The 25134-nt window shown below is 41.4% G+C and overlaps 1 protein-coding gene across 1 annotated transcript, besides 1 other annotated feature; it reads right to left on the bottom strand.

The window, feature by feature from the left end:
- Positions 48-25095, bottom strand: PGK1 (phosphoglycerate kinase 1). Its single transcript, NM_000291.4, has 11 exons — positions 24938-25095; positions 19426-19476; positions 15444-15599; positions 15183-15327; positions 11928-12031; positions 11173-11292; positions 6394-6508; positions 5969-6148; positions 4292-4469; positions 3918-4016; positions 48-3553 (listed from the first exon to the last, which is right to left on the bottom strand). Exons 1-11 carry the CDS (start codon positions 25000-25002, stop codon positions 3513-3515), a joined length of 1254 nt encoding a protein of 417 aa, NP_000282.1. The 5' UTR covers positions 25003-25095; the 3' UTR covers positions 48-3512.
- Positions 22679-22768: an enhancer, noted in NCBI's record as "active region_29784". NCBI's record gives its function as "activates an Ori minimal core promoter by ATAC-STARR-seq in GM12878 lymphoblastoid cells {active_cell/tissue: GM12878}" and the evidence as "EXISTENCE:reporter gene assay evidence [ECO:0000049][PMID:35858748]".

The raw sequence follows: 25134 nt of genomic DNA, 5'->3' as shown, positions 1-25134 counted from the left end.
TCAAGAGGCAGGAAAGAAAACACTAATCAACTACAGAACAGCAGGTATGCCACCATTTACATTTTAATATATCTATATACAGATAGATAGATAGATAGATAGATAGATAGATAGATAGATAGGTACACACATGGGTATGCTCTTTATGCAGAGTCTCACTGTTGCCCAGGCTGGAGTGCAGTGGCGTGATCTCGGCTCACTGCGAGCTCCGCTTCCCAGGTTCACGCCATTCTCCTGCCTCAGCCTCCCGAGTAGCTGGGACTACAGGCGCCCACCATCACGCCCAGCTAATTTTTTGTATTTTTAGTAGAGACAGGGTTTCACCGTGTTAGCCAGGATGGTCTCAATCTCCTGACCTCATGACCCGCCTGCCTGGGCCTCCCAAAGTGTTGTTGGGATTACAGGCGTGAGCCACTGCGCCCGGCCTCTTAATGTATATTAAATAGCCTTAGATTGAAAGAAACTGGTCTTCCAGAGGTTGCTTCTGGGGAGGGAAACTGGTAGGTAGGGGACTGAGGAAGGTGTCTTCATTGTATACTCCTTTTTGATCATGTGTAAACCCCTGTGCTAGAGGGAAATTTTGGAAATGAAGAAAACAGGAAAACACTGAGCTAAAGAACCAAATTGTTCACTTACGACATGGGAATTATTTTTTTCTGCATATAAACACACATATATAGTCTAGGGTTAAAGGTGAATTTACAACTTAAAGCATACACCTTTGCAATATTTTACCAATAATTCATAATTCCAAATTAGAAAGCACATCCTTATACTGTTTTGTGGGGTTTTTGTTTTGAGGCAGAGTCTCACTCTGTCGCCCAAGCAGGAATGCAGTAGCGTGATCTCAGCTCACTGCAACCTCCACCTCCCGGGTTCAAGTGATTCTCCTGCCTCAGCCTTCTGAATAGCTGGGACTACAGTGGCACACGCCACCACGCCCGGCTAATTTTTGTATTTTTGGTAGAAACGGGGTTTCACCATGTTGGCCAGGCTGGTCCCAAACTCCTGACAGGTGATCTGCCCGCCTTGGCCTCCCAAAGTCCTGGGATTACAGGCGTAAGCCACCATGCCCGGCCCCTTATACTGTTCTAGCTTATATGCACACAAGTTATCTACTATCTTCTTTGGTTAGGTTAAAAATTCCTTCAGAACATAAATGCTCTTATATTCCCTCTATCACGTCTTTAAGCACATAGAAGGAACTCAAATATTTGCCTAATTGACAAGTTGTTTATGACTGGAGATTCCCCCATTCATTCTTTAGGTTAACAACCCAAATAAATGAGGGGTGATCCTGGAAACAGTCCAGTAGAAAGTACTTAAAAGGTACAGTCAGAGATTGTTGGATAGATAATGTTGGCAATTGTAGAGTCTAGGTGCTGGGTTTATGGGAGTTTATGCTTCTTTCAGTTCCATTTGAAATAATTTTTAAAACGTTGGAGGAAAGGTAATCAGTAGGAAAAAGTCACAAAAATTGGACTAGAATTCCTGAGTACCCATAGAGGTATGCAGAAACATGGTACAATTTAAAATTAACTACAAATATGGGTACAGTATTAACTAAAATACAAATGAAGAAAAAACTTGAGCTTTCAAATTTCTGTTTTGTTTAGAGCAACCACCAAAATTTTCTTTTGCTATTCTATCCAGGGTTAAACAAAATAGTCTAGAAGCATCATGTCAGGGATAGAGTCTAGAAGCATCTATAGCCTAGAAGCATCATGTCAGGGACGGAGGCACATTGGAAAAGCATCAGCCACTGGAACCAGACAAACCTGGACTTGAATCCCTGCTGTTACTTACTAGCTCTGTGGTCCTGTCCAAAAGTTTATTTCTTTGTCCCTAAAGGTGAAATACATATCTTTCCAGCACAGAATTTCTGGTCAGACATGGCTTTTTCAAATCATGTTTACCTCTGCTCTCTCCCAAAACTCCATTAAAAGGACAGGAAAGAAATAGGAAGGTAAAATTATAAAGATGATGAAAGAATCCGAATGGCCATTTAGATTCTCAATAGTGACAATGAAACAGTGGCTTCGAGTCTCAAAAAGTGATACTCAGGCTAAAATTCTATATATAGCCAAACTAGGAATCAAGTATAAGGGTCGAATAAAGACATTTTCAGACTTACAAAGTCTTAGAGATTTTGCCTCCCAGGCACCCTTTCTCAGGAAGCTAGTAGAGTCTTGTGTTCTACAAAAAGTAGACCAAGAAAGAGGGAAAAGGGGGAATCCAGAAAACAGGAGTCTAACACAGGAGGTAAAAGAAATCCCCAAGAAGGTTATAGGAAATACCAGAGCAACAGCTAGCTGTACACCCTGCCTAGAGGGCATCAAGTACAAATTGGATAAAGGAGCACTAAGGACTCCTGCAGGGATAACTCTAACAAGGATTATTCAATATGTTTTAATATATTGAGACACTTATGCTTCTAGAAGATTTGGGAATGAATCACTGATGGGTATACACAGAAAATTTTTTGAAACACTGTTAATGCCAAAGACAATAAAAGTTACATAAGTAAATTTAATCATAGCATACTACATAGCTCAGCTGTATTAGTTATGTAGACTTTTGATCTAATCTATAATTGTGACAAAACTATACCGAGAGAATGAAGAAGTGGAAATATATGTGGAACAGAGCCTTCCTCCATGGTATGAAATAGATTTCTTTAAAAAATAAAAAAAAAAGAAGTGAACAATATAAGCATATTACTTAGAAACATGGAGGTATATACCTGAAAAACTCAAGAGTTGAAAGTGGTCACCTCTGGGGAGTGGGAATCTTGAATGGGAGGAATGGGCTGGGGCTTTTTTGTTATAAGCCTTGACTTTTTAAATTATGATCATGTGTAACTGATAAAAATAAAAGTTAGAATAAAAGCACTAGCACAATGTCTGCCATAAAGTAGGCCCTTGATAAAGAATGGACATTTATCTAATTGTCCCATCTCTCCACTGCTGCTGCCCCACTTCTTGCATTCAGCAATATAGACATCTGATCCGTTCCTCAAGATTCTATTCTCACCCTTCCTAACAAAGTATGACAGGAAAAAAAAAAAAATCACGGTTTCAATGGACACTTTTATTGTTTACTTAATGGATCATCAATTTTGTCTCACTACCTACAAATGGAATTTCATCTTGTTTCCATGCTGAGTAGTGAAACAGTGACAAAGCTAATCATAATAACCTACATCAAAAGAGAACTAAGCTAACACTGCTCACTTTCTTTTTAACAGGCAAAATATAAATATATGCACTCTAGAATGCACAATGGTTTAGTCACTAAAAAATTCAAATGGGATCTTGAAGAATGTATGCAAATCCAGGGTGCAGTGAAGATGAGCTGAGATGCTGTGCAACTGTTTAAGGGTTCCTGGCACTGCATCTCTTGGCCACTAGCTGAATCTTGACATGGAAGGTTTTAGCTAATGCCAAGTGGAGATGCAGAAAATGCTAAGTTGACTTAGGGGCTGTGCACAGGAACTAAAAGGCAGGAAAGTACTAAATATTGCTGAGAGCATCCACCCCAGGAAGGACTTTACCTGTTTTTGAGAGAGCACACATACATAGACAGCATTACTATAGGGCCCAGTAAGCCAGATTTCCCCCACTTTATCTTCCCAATAACATGCCAGCTCTTTTTTAGGATATATGGCCAGGAGCTGGCCAACTTTTACATTGTGGATTCCAGGTCTACTAGACCATAACTCTCAGACCAAGTTTCTATCTGTCCCTCCCCGCCTCAGTGGATGCCAGGAGCTTTATCTGAAGTTCCTCTGTACTGCCCAGGTAGTAATGACTGCTAATGACAACACTACCTTCTAACTTTCTCCACTCCATTCTACCCACCTCTCACTGCACAGTCCACCCTTATCCCAAACAAGCCAAAAAACAGAAGACCCTCACCTTCCAGGAGCTCCAAACTGGCACCACCCCCAGTGCTCACATGGCTGACTTTATCCTCCGTGTTCCATTTGGCACAGCAAGTGGCAGTGTCTCCACCACCTGTTGAATGAAAGCCAGGTAAAAAGGGAAAAGAGAGAAAAGAAAAAAAAGGGATTGGCACCAAAACTGTAAGGCAGTGTGCTCCCCAACCCAAAAGGTAGCTGATAAACCCCCAACTCTATCTTACCAAGAGGCTCCTCTGTAAATTACCTACCTGTTTACCTCTTAACATTTACCCAGAATAAAGAGACATAGAAGAAGTTCTCCATTCCACCTTCCTCTGATCAGAATTCTGCCAGCTTATATGGGTATTAGCTTTGTATAGGACCGCTTACCTATGATGGTGATGCAGCCCCTAGAAGTGGCTTTCACCACCTCATCCATGAGAGCTTTGGTTCCCCGGGCAAAAGCTTCCCATTCAAATACCCCCACAGGACCATTCCACACAATCTGCTTAGCCCGAGTGACAGCCTCAGCATACTTCTTGCTGCTTTCAGGACCACAGTCCAAGCCCTGAGGGGTAGAGGTGAAAGAGAAGATGAGCTATCAAGAAAAGCTACTTAAACACCACCTCCACCAAGACCAGAACTCAGGGCTGCACACCAAAGTTTCTTCTAGAAACAAATAGTACCCTTCAGTCTTTATAAACCTGTTCATGCCCTTTATACTCAAAAATTCTACTGTATGGAAGATCAAGTCTAACGGAAAACCTCAAAAGTTATTTAATAAAGACATTCTTAGCCACACTATTTATGTTAGTGAAAACTAGATCAATGGTTCTCAACCAGGTCAGTTCTGCCCCTTCATAATAGATAGGCATGTGGCAATGTCTAGAAATATTGTTGTTGCAACTTGGGAGGGTGCTACTGGCATCTAGTGGCCAAGGATGCTTTAAACAACCTTACAATTCAACAGTCCCCCACAAAACAACAGATGTCAATAGTGTTGGGAATGACAGTAAACTAGATCAGTAGTACTCAAACTTTGCCATGCATGAGAATCACCAGGAGGGCTTATTCAAACAGACTGTTTGGCCCCACCCTCAGTTCCTGATTCGGTAGGTCTGGGGTGGGACCCAAGAACTTGCATTTTTAACAAGTTCCAAAAATGATACTGATACTGCTGGTCTTAGGAACATACTTTGAGAAACACTGAACTAAATAATACGTGAATGCCTGAAAAGAAAAATAAGCAAACTAGCATGTAAAAACATGATACAATTTTATACAGCAATCAAAATGATATTTGGAGCACCCTAAAATCAACTATATTAGTCTTTAATATACACTTACATTTCTCCCTGCTTGTAATCAGTATACTTAATTTTTTCATATGAGAAAGTTTTCTTATATAGCTTTCTAGATAGCAACATAATCCAAAACAACCCAAACCATGAAAGTACATGACACTATCTCCAGTACGCAGTAAGTACTTAATACACATTAAACAGATGAAGAAAAAACAGATAAAACTAAAAATGGGCCGGGCACAGTGGCTCACGCCTGTAATCCCAGCACTTTGGGAGGCCGCAGCAGGTGGATCATGAGGTCAAGAGATTGAGATCATCCTGACCAACATGGTGAAACCCCGTCTCTATGAAAAATACAAAAATTAGCTGGGCATGGTGGTGCACACCTGTAGTCCCAGCTACTGGGGAGGGTTAGGCAGGAGAATCACTTGAACCTGGGAGGCAGAGGTTGCAGTGAGCCGAGATCATGCCACTGCACTCCAGCCTGGTGACACAGCGAGACTCTGTCTCAAAAAAAAAAAAAAAAACAACAACAACAAAGTTTTGCAACACATTACTGCATTACTGAAGGCCAGTAATCCAATAGCACTGCTTTTCTCCCATGGATTCTTCCATGAGGGACTCACTGCAACATGCAGAGCCCTCTCTGACAGATCTCCTATAGAGATTGTTTTAAAATGCTTGTTGATTGGCTGAATCAATGAATAAATGACACCACAGAGTTTCTGTTCACTCACACTACCAACCCACTCAAGTGACTCACCATCCAGCCAGCAGGTATGCCAGAAGCCACAGTGGCTTGGCCAGTCTTGGCATTCTCATCAAACTTGTCAGCAGTGACAAAGTCAACAGGCAAGGTAATCTTCACACCATTCTTCTCAGCTTTGGACATTAGGTCTTTGACAATCTTGGCTCCCTCTTCATCAAACAGAGAAGTGCCAATCTACACAGGGGAGCCAAAATGATGGAGGTCAGCATCTATACTAAGAACAAGACTGCCTCACAAAGCAGACAGGAACCAGACACAATACAATATAAAGGAACAATGCAAAGACGAAAGACTTGCCAAAATAAATAAAAATGGGAATTTTCAGGGCTCATGTCAAAAGACTGTTTTCTTTTTACATTTATACAACCTGCTATTATCATGGAGAGCTATTTCACATCCACTTGGCATTTGTTTCCTACCTCCATGTTGTTGAGCACCTTAAGGAAGGTAAAAGCCATTCCACCACCAATAATCATCTCATTGACTTTGTCCAGCATATTATTGATGAGCTGGATCTTGTCTGCAACTTTAGCTCTACAAGAGAAAGCAAGAATCATCACTTAAAGAAGAATGGACTAGAGAAGTGGTATTACATAGAAACTGAGTTTCTATTTCAAGGCACAGGAACAGAGAAAGTCTCAAAGTGACAAAAGTACTGCCTAACTTTGCCCTATGTTTCTCCAACCCAAAAACTCAATCCATTTCTAAGAAATCCTTTTAAGGTATGGCTCCAGACATCAGTGTATCTTTTTAAAAATTCCTCACCCCACTTACCATCAATACATTTTTTTTTAATTCTACCTAGAAGCTGATGGACAACAGATTTAAATCCATATTCTTTTTTTAAGCAGGGCTCAGAAGACCTACTCTTGTCTAAGGAAACTATGGGTTCCACATCTATTTTGCACATTCCCCAACACACACACACACACACACACACACACACACACACACACACAAATTCAGAGCATCAAGATTGCTAATTGTATCTAAGCACGATTGCTAATTGTGGGATCCCAGAGCCACTCAGAATTATCCTAACCTTAGAGCAGGGATTGACTGGACTGTATACTAAATAAATATATACTGAACAAAAATATATATTCCTAAAGTCATACCCTATGCTCAGTTGCTGGGACATTTTTTTCTCTCTCTCTTTTCAACACAAAGTCTCACTCTGTTGCCGAGGCTGGAGTGCAGTGGTACAATCATAGCTCACTGTAACCTGGAACTCCTAGGCTCAAGCAATCCTCTTGCCTCAGCCTCTCAAGTAGCTGCGACCACAGGCGTACAACACTACCCCTGGATAATTTTTCTTTTTAAATTTTTTTGTAGAGACAAGGTCTCACTATGTTGCCCAGGCTAGTTTCAAACTCCTAAGCTCAAGTGATCCTCCTGCCTTGGCCTTCCAAAGCACTAGGGTTACATGCCTAAGCCACCATGCCCAGCCTGGGACATTTTCTTTATGGCATTTATTTTTATTGGGTCACCCAATTCAACACATTTACTGGGCACCTACTCTGTGCCAAGCACTATTCTAGGTCTTTGAGAAACATCACAGGGCAAAGGCAACAGAAAGATCCCTACCCTTTGGGATCTTATTTTCTAGTACATGGAAATAAGATAAATACACATGTATCTTGCATCTCCCTATGAGACAAAAAAGATCCAAACTAAAGAGAAACAAAGTAATAGCCTGCCTTCCATAAACATTCCCATATAACTAAATCCCACTTACGTGGACAAACCACCTTGTGTCTGTTTCCTTCTTCATTCAATAAACAAGATAATGCCTATCCAGTGAGAAACCCTATGCTAGGATTTGTGAAAAGGAGGTATGAAACAACAGTGATGTGGGTGAACAGATGGCAAGAAACTATTTACTATTTATTTCAGTTGTAAAGATTGGTTACCACCAAGGGTAAAGATAGATTGTTTTAAATACACACACACACACACACACACATACACACACAAAGGGAAGAAAGCAGTTAGAAAGGAGTTCAATTTCTTCTAAAGAATAGCTTACAGCTCAAATGCCTGTTTCTTCAACAAATCAACAGAATGAAAGTAATAAATAGGAGATTATTACAAGAGATACCTAACAGCCAAAGGCAATGCATGGACTTCATTTGAATCCTTATTCAAACAAACCAACTGTAAAAAGACACTTCTGAGATGATCAAGAACATCTGAATACAGATTGGGTATTGGATGATAGTAACAAAACTGCTAAATTTGTTAGGTATAATATGGTGATTATTTAAAAGAAATCTGCTTAGCAGTTACAAGATGTATACAGGAGTATTACAGGTTGAGTATCCCTAATCCAAAAATCTAAAATCCTCCAAGATCAAAACTGTTTGAGCTCAAAGGAAATATCATTGGAACATTTCAGATTTCATATTTTCAGATTAGGATGCTCAACTGGTAAGTACCATGCAAATATTCCAAAATCCAAAAATAAATCTGAAATCCAAAACATTTATGGTCCCAAGCATTTCAGATAAAAGATACTCAACCTATGTAAGTGAAAGTATATGATGTCTAAGGCTAACTTAAAAACATTCCTGACAGCAGGGCACAAGCTCACGCCTGTAATCTCAACACTTTGGGAGACCAAGGCAGGCAGATCGCCTGAGCCCCAGAGTTCGAGACCAGCCTGGGCAACACAGTGAGACCCTGTCTCTACAAAAAGATTCAAAAATTAGCCAGGCATGGTGATGCATGCCTGTAGTCCCAGGTACTAGGGAGGCTGAGGTGGGAGGATCGCTTGAGCCTGGAAGGTCAAAGCTGCAGTGAGCTGTGATCATGCCACTGCACTTCAGCCTGGGCAGCAGAGTGAGACCCTGTATCAGAAAAAAAAAAATCTATATATAGATCTAGATCTAGATATATAGATATGTCTATATATCTAAAATATCTATATATGTACACACACACACACACATATATACACATATTTATTTCACTTGTATTCACTTTGTCAGGAATATATACGTGTGTGTGTGTATATATATGTGTGTGTGTGTGTGTGTACATTCCTGACAAAACAGAGTTAGGACATAAAAGAAACAAGATTAGCAAAACTGTCAATTAATTGTTGAAACAGGGTAATGGATACCTGGGAGTTTACTACACTATTCTCTCAACTTCCATACATATGAGTGTTTCTTACAATAAAGTTTGTTTAATAAAATATAAAAGTTTTCCCAAAAACTGTTAATGGCCTAGGGAAACTACACTACAAGAAAGGTGGCAAAAAAATCTCACATCCAATTCCCCGTAACAGCTATTTCAGTCTGAACCTAAAAACCTAACCATAAGGTAGCACTAGGTGGCACTCACTCCCATATTCCAGGTCTACAGAAAGTTGAAGAACAAAGCCCAGGAATAGATACCTTTTTCCAAGAACAAGACACAACAACCTGTATCTACCTGAGTTATTTTTAAGACTCTGAAACTGGGCTCATAAAGCCTAGAAAGCAACTGTATTAGCCCATTTTCACAATGCTATAAAGGACTACCTGAGACTTGGTAATTTATAAAGAAAGGTTAAATTGACTCACAGTTCCGCATGGCTGGAGAGGCCTCAGGAAATTTACAATCGTGGCGGAAGGCAAAGGGGAAGCAAGTCACATCTTACATGGTGGCAAGAGAGAGGCGAGCGAGGGTGGAACTGCCAAACAACACTATCACAAGAACAGTATGGGGTGAACCGCCCCCTTGATCCAATCACCAGGTCCCTCCCACAACACGTGGGGATAATTCGAGATGAGATTTGGGTGGAGACACAGAGCCAAACAGTATAAGCAACTATGCTACCTGAAATTGACACCCAACTCCAGAGTCAATTTTCATCAGGAGATAGTATGTTCACTCCCCTGGGGGAAAAAACCCTGCTCATAGAAGGGTAATGGGCCTCCAGCCATAAAGAGACTGCTACCTAGATCACCACACCAAGTCACAGGAAATTGTCTTATCCAAGCAGTGCTAGCTCTCTCACCTAAAATTTATCCTCCTCTCAACCCTCAATTCTGAAATTTCTATTTTTAACTAACCCATTGGAAAATCATTATCTACTTGCTGCCTTTCCCTATAGGAGAAAAGATAAAATAGGTATGTAATCTGGAGAAATGAGGTCTAAATTATATATTAAACACATATGAAGAGGTTTTCATAGTTATACCCTGCCAGGTTATATGGTTATACCCTGCCAGATTATATGGTTATACCCTGCCAGATTATATGGTTATACCCTGCCAGGTTATATAGTTATACCCTGCCAGGTTATAAGGCTCAAGCACTTCAAAATTGCTAAATGAGCACCTATGGTGGATCTTTCCCATTCTTCCCTGCAGAGCCATCTTCTATCCTTCTCTACCCTGTTGCATCACAGGAGGAGGACCTGCATGGACTACATCAAGGAGCTTTCTTGCGCTCTGGCTTCCATTTGGGTTTCAGCCAAATTGAGGGTGGGAGGGGGTGCAGCAGCAGGAGACTGAAAGGAGATCAGAATATTTATTGCCCTGGCTCCCCCTCCCTACCAGATCTTGTGTCCTTTGACCAAAGGCTACAGTTCCCATCAGATAGCTCTCTCCACACCAACTTTCCTCTCTGAATTCTGATAACCATTCCCCTCCCTTTGTCCCTTCAGGCATAGAAATGGTGATGCCTGTTGGTAGCCCCAAATTACTGTACTGTCCCTTTGTGGTTTCCCTGAACCCTACCCACACCTCTGTATGTAGTTCGTTCGTTTGTTTGTTTATTTATTTATTTATTTATTTATTTAGAAACGGTCTTGCTCTGTCACCCAGGCTGGAGTGCAGTGGCGTGATCACAGTGCACTGCAGCCTCTACCTCCCAGGCTCAAGTGATCCTCCCACCTCAGCCTCTCTGGTAACTGGGACCACAGGTGCATACCACCACCGCCCAGCTAATTTTTTTTTGTAGACATGAGATCTCACTTTGTTGTCTGGGCCCATCTCAAACTCCTGGGCTCAAGCAATCTTCCTGCCTGGGCCCTCCCAATGTGCTGGGATTACAGGTGTGAGCCACCATGCCCAGCCTGTAGTTCCTTTATTAAATTCTCCTCAGTTACCCAGTGTGACTGAGCTATATGACAATAAACCACCCAAGTTATGGCCTACTACCAGGCAAACAATACTTAAAGCATGATCTTAAAGAGTTCTTCATACCCGCCCAGGATGGCCAGGAAGGGTCGCTCTGGGCTCTCCAAGGCCTTTGCAAAGTAGTTCAGCTCCTTCTTCATCAAAAACCCACCAGCCTTCTGTGGCAGATTGACTCCTACCATGGAGCTAGAAAAGATCAAAGACATTCAGATTCTAGTCAATCCCTATCATTCCTCCTAGTCCTAGAGGCCAGCTCCTTATCACTAAAATATTTCTACTTCTGGACTGCAAGAAATCATGGTTTTCATCCCTACATTGCAACAAAAAACACTTAGGTACAAGATAAGATTTTTAACTAATAGTGCAAGGTCAAAGGGAAAGAGTAAAAAAGTAATGAACTTAGGTAGAATTTAAGATACCCAGTTAACACTCTTCAGGCAGGCCAAAGGGCAAATCACAGTAAGTAATTGGCCGGTTGATGATAGCAGAAGAGGATTCCTCAATTTGCTTCCTACTGACAGCATGAGAGTCTGATCTTATAACGTTCATAAAAGGATAACTCTGTACAAAATATCTAAGGTGAGAAAGAGCAACCTCTTCCTGAAACTCCACAAAAAGCCCTACAATTACCAACATTTTTTTACCTTTATTTCCTCTTTGGATGAGAGCTACTCAACAAGAGCCATAGTGGCAGTTCCAATTAGAGAAGCTGAAAGGATTACAGTATAATACAAAACTCTCCAAAAACAACCCAGAGCTTGGGCTACTCAAGTAAATAGGAATACTGTTCTCAGTGTGGTAGTCTACAAGGTTCTTGGTACCTGTGGGCTCTGTGAGCAGTGCCAAAAGCATCATTGACATAGACATCCCCTAGCTTGGAAAGTGAAGCTCGGAAAGCTTCTATTTTGGCTGGCTCGGCTTTAACCTATAGAGAAAAACAAAAACAGAAAATGTGATGGCTCCAAAGACAACTATAAAAGCATTTCATACACCAAGAGTCCTCTTGAACATCTCTAAAGACCCTGAGTAGGTGGGACAGCGATTTTTTACAACCAGCAGTAGGATGTGTTCTTTCTTCCAAATATTCCAGATACTTTGGTCATTTCTGCATGTTTCTGCTCTCCCTTAACTTCCCTCAAATTGCAAACCTAATATTCCTGAACGATGGCTTTACCTCTAATCACATGAAGTTAACCACACCCCACTAGCCTCTCCCCAGCCTTCAGCTCAAGGTTCTGATTATCCTTCCCTCTCCTTGACTTAGTTCCTCATTTTAAACATTCTCCTTGTGATAGTATCATACTTGACTCAAGCTGCTGGCTACCAAGGCCTTTCTGCGAAGTGCAAGGGGCTCTCACACATATTCCTCATAAAAGCAACAAGGGCAAGCTGGGACAGAGAAGGCAGATGGAAACATGACAACAGAAAAGAACCTCAGAAACACTTCACATTGACAAAAAGGTATTTTATGACCTTCTCTGGAAGCTAGGCATCTGAGAAAACAAGAAATATACTTCTACAAAAAGAGAGGAAGAAAATGTAGAAGTTAAACATAGAGCTTTAAAATGTCAGCTTGCCATCAAGGCATACCCCAAAGGGGACAGAAAGCAAGATGGGAGGATAAGCAAACCAGAGAGTCTCTGGCAGGAGATTAAGCAAAGAGGCACAGGAAGCAAGCCAGATGAAAGGGGACAGGACACAGAAGAGTACATAGCACAAAGCAGATGTTCATTTTAAGTCACTGCCCACTCCTATGCTCCTATGTATCAAGGAGGTGAAGGGGACTGCCATAAAAAATGGGGCTTTTCCCTAAAGATCCAAAGAATTGCAGAGGCACTAATGCTAAAATTGAAGATTGTGGCACTCCCATAAGCTCTGTAGACTACAATAACATCTGCCACTAGTGATTGGAAGATGACACATGTAGTAATGATAACAATGCTCAAATGTAAGGAGACCTGAGTTCTATGTCCAGCTCTGACACTAATTCATTGTGTCACCTTTGGGAAGTTGCTCTGAAATTTTCCCTTCTATCAAAAAGGCATAATAACCCCTCCATTTACGAACTATTTAAGGAGGCCAGGGGCAGTAGCTCACACCTATAATCCCAACACTTTGGGAGGCCAATATGGGAGGATCACTTAAGCCCAGGAGTTCGAGATGAGCCTGGGCAACATAGCAAGACCCCGTCTCTACCAGGAAAAAAAAAAAAAAGTAAAGGTCAGTTGGACATGGTGGTATGTGCCTGTAGTCCTAGCTCCCTACAAGGATGAGGCAGGAGGATCACTTCAGCCCTCAAGTTTGAGGCTGCAATAATTAATGTCATGCCACTGCACTCCACCATGGGCAACAGAACAAGACCCTGTCTCTTTAAAAAGATATTTAAGGAAAAACAGGGTAAATTGAAAGCTCTTCATGAAAAAAGGTGCCATGGAAATAATATCAATCAGAACCCATTTCTCATTTACTGATCTGCAAATAACTAGAAGAAAGAGAAGGCCCTTAAAAGATCAATGTGGGCACTTTGGATAAAGGGAAAATGTTTATGTCCTCATATCCTCACTTTGTTTTTGTGGTTTTTTTGAGACAGAGTCTTGCTCTGTTGCCCAGGCTGGAATGCAGTGCTGCAAACTTGGCTCACTGCAACCTCCACATCCTGGGTTCAAGCAATTCTCCTGCCTCAGCCTCCGGAGTAGCTGGAATTACAGGCACTTGCCACCATGCCCGACTTTTTTGTATTTTTAGTAGAAACAGGGTTTCACCATGTTGGCCAGGCAGGTCTCGAACTCCTGACCTTGTGATCCACCCACCTCGGCCTCCCAAAGCGCTGGGATTACAGGCATGAGGCACCGCACCCAGCCTCACTGTTTTTTTAATCCATTTTGAACTTGGGACTGACTCCTGAAATTTCAGGTATTAAAAGCCATTAGATAGTGAATGTCAAGTCAGTTTACTAAAAAAGTCATAGACTACATAGTCAGCTCATCATTTCCTAAATAAAAAGTTTTGCTTCAATATGCCCTTTGCCTCCTGCCACTTCTAAGCCCTAGAGTTCATGCATCATGAGTTCCAGATTAAAAGGACACCAAATTTTAGGTCAGCATTTGACTCCTAATACTGCAGCAAGACCATGCCAAAAGCAGGATAAGGCAAGACCAGCATCTTTGGTGCTAAAAAAAGAAACTGCTTGAAAGCAGGCACTCCCAATGACCTTAATAAATGTGAGAAGCCAAAGGAGACTGAGACACTAGACTCAGAGCATCTTGTTCTCCGAGATACTAAAGACCAGAATAGTGGAAAGTACTAAAAAATGCCTTCAGCTTCCTTTCTAGTCAATGGGCAAATTCAAAATCATCTGCAAAGAGCCAGTTTTATCATTGAATATTTGAATTCTGGTTGTCAGTTCACAGTAATCTGTTTGGTGAGTTATCTATGGCTGCTTTTGCACAACATCGGCAGAGGTGAGTAGTTCCAACAGAGACTATATGCAGATGGAAGTGACTGCACAACACAGAAAGCCTAAAATATTAACTATCTGGCCATTTATAGAAAAAGTTTGCTGATTGAATGGGCTGAGCTCTAAAGACCAACAGCACCACTGCCTCTAACTTTAATCGTATGACTGCCTTTCAGAAACTTAAGTTTTTTTTTTTTTGAGACTTAGTTTCTTTATGAAATAAGTCGATACCTGTACCTCTATCTTAAAGAGAGATTTAAAGGAACATACTTTACACATCTTAAGAAAATGCCTTAAATCCAAGGTGACATCATCATGACCATCATATTCACTGAATACTCTTTCACCTCAAAGGTGTTCACATATTTTTCAAACATATTTAAACACCACCTGAACATGAAGGAGGGCTTCTGGGATGCTGGTAATATTCTATTCCTTGACCTGGGTGGTGGTTACACAAGTGTGTTTACTTTGAGATAACCCATCAAGCTGTGTCGGCATTGTATGCTTCAATAAAAGGTGTCTAAGTTAAAATAAATGAGCTTTCTCTATTCTTCAACCACAGTCTCTTACAGACTCAGGCCCTCACCCCCAATAATGTCAAAATCACAGGTCCTACCTTGTTCCCAGAAGCATCTTTTCCCTTCCCTTCTTCCTCCACATGAAAGCGGAGGTTCTCCAGCAGGATGACAGACCCAGCAGCTGGGTTGGCACAGGCTTTCTCCACTTCTGGGCCTACACAGTCCTTCAAGAACAGAACATCCCTGAGAAGAGGAAGAGATGAAGACACTTGAGCAGTATGAAAGTTAAAAACCAGTAACAACGTGCTTGACAACTTCCCCCGCCACAAAGTCTACCAGCACCAGAGCCTGGCACTTACTTGCCCAGCAGAGATTTGAGTTCTACAGCAACTGGCTCTAAGGAGTACTTGTCAGGCATGGGCACACCATCAGGCCGGCCTAGGTGGCTCATAAGGACTACCGACTTGGCTCCATTGTCCAAGCAGAATTTGATGCTTGGGACAGCAGCCTTAATCCTGCAACCAAAGAGAGACAACAAACAGAATGAAGTTACTCCTAGAAATTAGTGGGAACTAGCTTATTGATAACCTCATAAAGCATAAAGCTCCTTTTCTTCTCCAAGTTCCTTCAAATCTACTATCAGTAATTCAATGGTGGTCCTTAAGAAGTTAAATGCAATGCCAACCCTCCACCTAGGATTGTACAATCTCATTATGTATCTGCCCCTTTCACAGACAAGAGTTAACACAGCAGGCCTGAGGCTACTATCTACAGAAGGACCTGTCTGCAAGATTAGATCCTGGCTGGTATCTGGGAACTTGGCTTTCAAAGTTAACTGACAAGACCAACAAGGGCTATTCACTCTTCCTAGACCGTCTATACAAACATGGTGATTTATGCTGAACACCTGCCCCACTCTAGAAGTCTAGAATTTTTTTTTTCTTTTCCTTTTTTTGTTGAGACAGGGTCTCACTCTGTCACCCAACAGGCTGGAGTGGAGAGGCACAATCTCAGCTCACTGCAGCTTCAACCTCCCCAGGGGCTTAGGTCATCTTCCTACCTCAGCCTCCCAAGTAGCTGGAACTACAGGAATGCACCACCATGCCCAGCTAATTTTTGTATTTTTTGTAGGGGTTTTACCATGTTGTCCAGGCTGGTCTTGAACTCCTGGGCTCAAGTTATCTGCAGGCCTCAGCCTCCCAAACTGCTGGGAATACAGGCGTGAGCCACCACACCCAGCAGAAGTTTGTAATTTTGGTAGTTGCTAGGCAGAGGATCCCTATGTTACCAGTTCCCAACAAAAATCTTGGGATCTGAGTCTCTAGCATGCTTCTCCAGGCAGAAACACTGCAGACAATTACTGCATTTTTCACTGCTGAAGAAAGGAAAACACTTGATGTGTCCCCTCACAGGAAACTGGAAGCCCATGGATTTCTCTAGACTCCCCCATGTCTTTTCCTCTTCCTAATCTTGTCATGCATTCTTTCACTGTAATAAACTTTAGCCATGAGAACAACTCTGAGTCCTAGCAAATCATCATGAGATATGTGGGTGATCTTGGGGACCCCTGAAAACACTTCTTATATGACTATGGAAAATACATAAAATTCTCAAATCTTGAAACCATCAAAGGAAATTTGGGGAAAAATAAAAAACATGTAGTAACTTTTCTGCACCTATTAATAGATCCTAAGTCACTTTTTTATGTAGGAAAAAATAATTGCACTGTCTAGAGCTTGGTTTCCATAATGTATCACATTCATTACATTATAAATTAATCAAAAAATTAACTCCCTTTAAACATTTAAAAGTTTTGTTATAAACCTGCTACTAACTTGCCATTTTGCCAGTTTATAAGAAATTAAAATTGATCAAGAAAAGCATTTATTTATTCATCAAATATTTATTGAATGCTTCTTTTGTGCCAGGCATCATTCCAGGTTCTGAGAATGAAACAGAAAACTTTTTTAAAAACTCTCTGTTCTCATGGAAGTGAAATTCTAATGGAGAGAGACAATAAACATGTATGTGTGTGTGCGTACATGTAATATATCAGATGGTGAGATACAGAAAAAAAACAAACCATTGTTCCCCATTTTTGTTCCCCTACTTTTGAGGACAAAAATGACCGGGGAACAATGGTAGAGGAGATTTTTAGACAGGATGGCCAGGGAAAGTCTGATATGATGACATCTGAGCAAAGAATGGAATGATTAAAAAAGTTATACTTTTAAAATATCTTATGTTATTAATATTTAGCAGATATAAGAACTCCTTTATATCAAATTTAAAAATCTGTATCAGGTACAAAGTTTGTGCAATGGAACCAATTAGTTTTCAGGACTATCCCTTATCAGCAAGTTTTATTATTTCTAATGCTTCATTTTGTTAATCAACTCCATGGATTTCCGGAAATGAAAAGATTTCCAAACATGTTTCTTTACTCTTAAAATAACTTGATAGGCATATTTCCAATCGTTTCTGTGTGTTGCACAATAATGAAGATCAAGCGGGATCAGATCTGCCTTATACAAAGACCCTGCCACTATGGTACAGCAGGGATGTGCTTGGCAAAATGACAGGCTCTATTCTAGGACCAATACCTGAAAATGTTCTGGGCTAGACCTGCACTGTCCATTACGACAGTCATTTAGTCATGTGTGTCTGTTGAGTACCAGATATATAACTAGATCAAATTGAGATGTGCTGTAGTATAAAAACACATGCCAGATCTTGAAGACTTAGTACCAAAAAAGTTAAATGTCCCTTTAATTTAATTAACACAATTTGGCTCACATTGTATTTCTATTAGATACCACTGGTCTAGATCATTAGAAAGCACCTTGCCAACACAAACCCTTCATTTAAAATTTAAAATAGGCGGAGCACAGTGACTCATGCCTGTATTCCCAGCACTTTGGGAGGCCAAGGTGGGCGGGGTCCAGGAGCTCAAGGCCAGCTTGGGCAAAAGGGCAAAACGCTGTCTCTACAAAAAAAATATGAAAAAGTAGCCAGGTGTGGTGGCCCACGCCTGTGGTCTCAGCTCCCTGGGAGGCTGAGATGGGAGGATCGCTTGAGCCCAGGAGGCAGAGATTGCAGTGAGCCAAGATCGTGCCACTGCACTCCAGCCTGGGCGACAGAACGAGGCCCTGTCTCAAAAAAAAAAAAAAATTAAATAAAAACCTTCTTGATGGATACCCCATTTAACCTGATGTGATTATGTATTGCATGCTTTTATCAAAATATCTCATGTAACCCATATATATATATATATAAAATCTACAAAAATTAAAAATTAAAAAAATTAAAAAGAAAGTAAAGACAAAAATAAAGACCTTTTATAATCTAGTCAAAAGCAAGAGCAGTACTCTCACTTAAAATTTGTTTCTGAATCTAGGATCCAAGACACTGGAGCAGCTAAACTGACTGAAAACGTACTTCTGAAGTCTTTCCTGTTTGTTTTTTTGGAAGCAAAAACAAATGAAAATTCTCAAAAATTGACTTATCTGAGCCATTTGAATGGGGGCTTGTAAAACTACATATAACCTTAGTAACTACTGGTACTTTTAAAATCCTTCTCTTACATAGTTCTTCATTTTGCAAGAGAAGCCAAGTAACCTTAAATTTTTATATTTTTTGTGTGTGTTTTATAGAGATGGTGTCTTACTATATTGGCCAGGCTGTTCTCGAACTACTGGCCTCAAGCAATCCTCCTGCCTCGGCCTTCCAAAGTGCTGGGATTACAGATGTGAGCCACCGCACCCAGCCAACTTTTATATTCTTTAAAAATGAATAACTCTGCCAGGTATGGGGGCTTACACCTGTGGTCCCAGCACTTTAGGAAGCCAAGGCAGGAGGATCACTTGAGTCCAGGAGTTTGAGAACAGCCTAGGCAACATAGTGAGACCCCATCTCTACAAAAAAAAATTTTTTTTTAATTTAACCAGGTGTAGTGGTGTGCACCTGTTGTTCCAGCTCCTCGGGAAGCTGAGGCCAGAGGACTGCTTGAGCCCAGAAGGTTAAGGCTGCAGTGAACCGTGATCACACCACTACACTCCAGTCTGGGTGACAGAGTGAGACCCTATCTCAAAAAAAGAAAATGAACTCCAAATTCTTCTAATTTTCAAAAAACAAGGGAAGGGGAATCACTTTCTTAAGATTTTGCTTATATTTGTATATTCTCATAAATAAGAAAGCAGATCAGAGAGTGGGTTGATAGAAAGCCAAAATCATTTGTTTTAAGTTGCTACAGTTCCATAATACAATATGAAAGGAAAAACATTTCATCCTGTGTACCTACACACATCTTAAACCCAGCCCAAGGATTAGCAGGGACCTTACCTCTGGTTGTTTGTTATCTGGTTGTTCTTCATAGGAACATTGAAGTCGACTCTAAAAAAGAAAGATGCAAGACCATGATCAACTTACTGTTCCATCAAAGACTAGGAGATGCATTTTTAATGAACCAGTTAAATAAGTCAGAAATTCAAATCTCATCTTAAAAATAATCAGTGGCATTAAAAGTCAAAATAGTGGTTAGTCATGGGGAGGATGGCGGGAGTGGTGACTGGGATAACGACACCAGAGGCTTTGGGGTTCTGGTAATGTTCTATCTCTTAACCTCAGTGACCATACAAATGTGCTCATTTTGTGGTAATTCTTTGAACTTGTGATTTGTGCCCTTTTAGGTATGTATTCATACTTTAAAAAGAATTTTAAAAAAAAAACCTAACTTAAATCACAGGAACTAGCCCTGAAGATCTGGGAAGCTAAAGCTAGTTCCACCTAAAAAGATATCTGTCTGGGCCTGGCACAATAGTATCCGGGTAGCAGCTAGAGGGGTGAGGAATAATAAGGAATGCATCTTGATCCTAATTCCCTTGATACTATTTCTGGGTCCTCGTGAAACTAACATGACTCGAGAAAAAAATTAAAATAAAAATAAAACACACTAAGAGAAAATCATTCTTTTTGGAGAAAGCCTGGGGCCTTAAGACTAGGGGTCCTTCAAGCAATACACACAACATAAGACAGCCTCTTTCAAAAAGCCTGAGAAGAGAGGGTGGGACATGTGCCCCAGCCCACCTGACAAACAGGCAAATTAGAAGGGAAGTAATCAAGACGACACAAGAAAATAATGTACTGCAGTATCTCTTACCCAACAGATTACTATGTTATCATTCTTAAGAACCAATTATTCTGAACTCCTTGGAACCTCAGCCTACTTCAATGTGAATGAAAACAATAATGTATGGCAGCTATTTTTAAGGTTTAAGAGTTGTGCCTGCCATGATTATTTTTAAGTGATTTTTTTCTCATCGGGATGACAGTATCTACCTCGTAGTTACTGAGAGAATTAGTAAGTCAGCAATTTGTAAAGTGCTTAGAAGTGTACCTGACACACAGTAAATGCCATAAAAGTGTTGTTGTTATATGTTTCTCCAAAATGTAATTCTGTGATTTGACAAGTAAATCAACCACTACTAAAAACAGCTAACATCACTTGCAAAGGGACTACAGTGAAGTATGACCTAATCAAGAAGACTGCTGCTATCCTTGATTATAAGCCTCCATCTTTTTCCTCTGCCTTTTTAAATACCCCTTCCTCTCTAAGGCTAAGGCAATTACAAACTCCTACAGACATACTGAGAAGACCACCAATTTCCTATATCCACTAGGCCTGAACTCCAATCTACCTCACTGAAGAACAGCCTTTCCAAAGGTAGGCTGAGGAAAAATAATTCTATAGTAAAACATGTTTTAAAGTCTTCAAAATTAAAGGCAGTAAGCCTCTGATGAAAGAAATACACTCTACTTTGTTTCAGGCCACTTGATTCTCTGTCTTCTTTAAATATCCTGAACAAGGAGCCTGCCAGCCTTAAAGTACATTCCAAAGAAGAGAGAATATCCCATTACCATGGGTCATTTTCCCCCATGCAACCTCCCAGAAGGCCTATGCTCAAAAGGACTAATGGCAAAAGGATGGGCACAAGCCACTTCTTGCAGTGCTACTCTCTACCCCCAACCCTTACAGGGAGGAATATCTTTGGACAGAGACACCTAAGAAACTGTCTCATCTATCCAAGCTGCCATGGTGTCAGCTTACTAATGAATTAGACTTGGTTGATACTCTCTCCTCAATGCCCTCTGGATTACCTCCCCTTATCTCCTACACTCACAACAGCTCTGCTTTTAGCTTCTCCTCAGAGGACTCCAACACAGGAACTGCTCTTGCCTACAGATTCTACTTGTTCCATTTTACATAAAATATGCACAATTTTCTTTTTTTTTTTTTTCGTTTCCTTATAACACCCCTGAGCTTTGCTTCAGGCACAAAGTCAGTTATTACTACATATCCATCAGAACGAAAAATAACTAAAATAGCTGGTAATGAAGCAGAGAAACTGATTACTCAAATACTGCTGGTAGAAATGTGAAATGCTGCAGCCACCTTGGAAAACAGTCTGGGGATACCTCAAAAGGACGTGGCCCAGCAATTCCACTCCTAGGTGTTTACCCATGAAAAATGACAGCGTATGTCCATACCAAGACTTGTATACAAATGTTCACAGCAGCTGTATTTGTAATAGCCCCAAATCAGAAACAACCCTAATATCCTTCAATGATAGTTAAACAAACTATAATACAACCACACCATGGAATACTACTCAGCAATACACAGGTATGAACTTTTGATACATGTGACAATGTGGATAAATTTTGAGGACATTATGCTAAGTGAAAAAAGTTAATCCCAAAAGGTTATATACCATGTGATTCAATCTGTATAGTATTTTTGAAGTGACAAAATTTTAGAAACAGTGGACAGATCAGTAGTTACCAGGAGTCAGGAAGGGGGGTGGTTATTATTATAAAGAGGTAGCATGAAGGAGATCTTGGTGGTGATCTAATAGTTCTGTATCTTGATTGTGGTGGCGGTTACACAAATCTACGCACGTAATAAAATGGCATAGAACCATACACACTTTATACCAATGTCAATTTCCTACTTTTGATATTGTTCTATAATTAGGTAAGATGCATCCATTGGGGGAAAATGGGTTGAACACAAGACCTCTCTAACTTTGTAACCTCCCATGAATCTTTATTTCAAAATAAAACATTAAAAAATATACTGATTTAGCTGGAATAAGAATATCAAGTCTCTATCACCTGAAATCTCAGGTCCCAGGTCCAGTTCCATTAAAAACTCTCAAAGGAACCATGTCCATCAATGCTTCACTGCCCCAGATGGAAAACTGGGATATTGTGGGTGTCTTAGTGACTTTTTCTCTGCTCTCAATTTTTTCCTGTTTCTCTTCCCACTACATCAAAGCAGTTTCTTTACAAGTTACAAGTTGGAGAAAACCAGTAAGGTTTAAAAAAAAAGGCAGGAGCAAGCAAAAAGGAAGTGCTTTACAAGCAGGCAAAGGATGACTGGCAACCTATGAGAGAAAGAAAGGAAATTACCACAAAAATAAGCAGAAGTGTATTCAAAGAGGCTGTAAAGTCAACTGCGGAGTCCTAAAAAACTAAGATGGAACCTGGTAATTAACAAGTCAGAGGTTTCTGGCTATCCCATGTTACCTCAACAAATCAATTTCCCTTGGCAATCCAAACCAGTGGACCAGAAGAGTCAGCAAATACCATAGTTCACTTCTGCAGGACAAAGACGACAAATGAGGCAGCCACTACTCAGGAAGCCCCATTCCGGAAACACCGCCAGCAACCACCACGTTGAAACAAAAAGGAATTGAGCTGACACCACATGGCTGCCTAAGCACCTCCAAAAAAGTAGGCCTACAATGTGACTCTCTGTTCAAAAGAAATACATTAATAATCAGGGAACCATGTAACTTCCTGTCCTCAGCCTAAATAAGTAGAAGGTATCCAGGTTACGGGAGAAAGTTCTATTTCAACGTATCCTTGGTCATTGTCTCGAATATTCAGAGGATCTAGTTGATAGCCAAGGAGACCTAAATTCTACTCCTAGCTCTGCCACCAACTTGGTAGTTCAGTAACCCTGAACAGGTCATTTTCCATCAGCAAAACAGGACTAGCCAATCATTTCAAGGCTTTGGGTTAGCGTGTGCTAAATGAAACTTTATTAGGTCCAGAGGGAGAAAAGTTAAGCAGCTCCTCCAATCCCGCCCCCAGCTAGCTTCCTCAAGCCAGTTTCCCTAGAGAGAGAGGAAATAAAGCCCAAGACTGCAATTACAGGAAGGTTATCAGCATAATGTCCCACTCCTTGTCTGTTAGTTGGTCCATGCATCTGGAAGAATCAGCGTCGAACACAGGGGAGATGCAAGGAACTAATTAAAACCTAAAAGCTAGTTGCATGCCAATGTCCACCTGTCCTGTTTTTTACAGGGTCTATCCCCTTTTTTTAGGATTGTATGAGGGCCAGAAAGGGCACTCCTCTAGTACTAACATGGCTGTGACTCCTACTTTGTCCAGATTACAAAGGCCTATGTCATTTGGGGAAATGTGGAAACCAGGTATTTTTCATGGACATAAATTATTGGGTTCTTCTATCTCCACAGCAGGGCAGCGGTTACCTGCAAAAATATTGACCAAAGTGAAATTAGAGAGAAGAGGAGAGCTACATGTCCTTTTAGGGTACCCATACAGTTCCCTAACTCAAACGTGTCCTCATATGTTTAAAGTTAGAGTAAAGGGAGATCTCCTACTGACTTACGTGTCTGTTAATATCCAACACAAGCCCTCATTTGAACCAGCCCAAATTGGAAAAGGGGCTAGATTACACCAGCCAAATAAATACCTACCCATCAATCAACCACTTCCCAAAAAGGTCAAGGTTGCAAAATGCTATCAACAGAAACCTTTATGACCCCTCAAAAACACCACTCTTGGATCCTGTTAAGGTATATGAACAGTCAAGTCCATCAGTTACATACCGACTCATCCTCCTGCACCTTGCTCCTGGTATGCACAAATATATCACACGTGACAAAAAGGATAAATGTAAAAGCTGCCCACTCTACCAACAATTCTGGCAGATAAGAGAGAAACCGTGTTGGCAAGTGACTAGAGATCCACATGCGCAGAGTAAGAGACCCAAAGTGCACGAGGAAACTTCCCCCAATTTTAAAATTCTACTTTTCTAGCCACACGTGGGGATGAGATTGGAGGCCAGCAAGTATGAGCAGCCACACCCTGCTCTACCATTACCTAGTATGTCACAATCCTGATGCAAATCCTGTGCCCAAGAGTCCAACGATACCGCGCTGCAGGGCAGCAGACGCCTGTTACGTAAGCTCTGCAGGGCCTCCTCCAGTTCGCCCCGCCCTACCCTCCCACCCCAATTCTTTAGTGGCGGGGGGCGGGGGGGTCTACTCCTGAAGTTAAATCAACATCCTCTTGGAAAAATATCCTTTTGTGCAGGAACCTGTGAGATGTGGGCCGTTTCTCATTTGGCTGCGACGGTCTAGGAGCGTGGGGGAAGGGAAAGTAAAATGACCTTTCAAGGTCCCTTCCTTGAAGCCTAGAGATTTGCAGGATAAGCATTAAGTCCCATCTCGCCGACTGGGAGCTGGAGGCAACGGAACTGCATTTCACCAATAGGAAAAAGGACAAAATGGGTCCCAGCGGCAATCTCAGCCCTTCCTCAGTGGGATCCATCCCCGAAGGGTGACTTCGGGTGCTTTCTGGGCTGGGGAAAATGCGGCTAGAAACCACCAAACCCGTGAGCAGCCTCGCCCTCCAAGCCTAGGACCCCTGGGGCCCAGCCAAAAGCTAAAAGAACTTAGAGCAGACGAGAGAACAAGTCGGCTCCGGCCAAAGAGGTTTGCGACAGAGCACAGAGAGCACGCGGGCAAACGTGCAGAATTACCTCATAACGACCCGCTTCCCTTTAACGTCCAGCTTGTCCAGCGTCAGCTTGTTAGAAAGCGACATTTTGGAAATACAGCTGGGGAGAGAGGTCGGTGATTCGGTCAACGAGGGAGCCGACTGCCGACGTGCGCTCCGGAGGCTTGCAGAATGCGGAACACCGCGCGGGCAGGAACAGGGCCCACACTACCGCCCCAC

The sequence above is a fragment of the Homo sapiens genome, chromosome X (genome assembly GCF_000001405.40).
Source record: "Homo sapiens chromosome X, GRCh38.p14 Primary Assembly".
In the NCBI taxonomy this organism is placed as follows: Eukaryota; Metazoa; Chordata; class Mammalia; order Primates; family Hominidae; genus Homo; species Homo sapiens.
This window is presented reverse-complemented; position numbering and strand designations above follow the sequence as displayed.

Bases quoted from the DNA above. Each gene is read 5' to 3' on its own strand.
- PGK1 (NM_000291.4), bottom strand. From the start codon at position 25,002: ATGTCGCTTTCTAACAAGCTGACGCTGGACAAGCTGGACGTTAAAGGG. The intron at 19,477-24,937 runs GTAATTCTGCAC...TTTCTTTTTTAG, and splicing joins GGGAAGCGGGTCGTTATGAG to AGTCGACTTCAATGTTCCTA. The intron at 4,017-4,291 runs GTAAGCGGTCCT...TTCATTCAACAG, and splicing joins GGGCTGCATCACCATCATAG to GTGGTGGAGACACTGCCACT.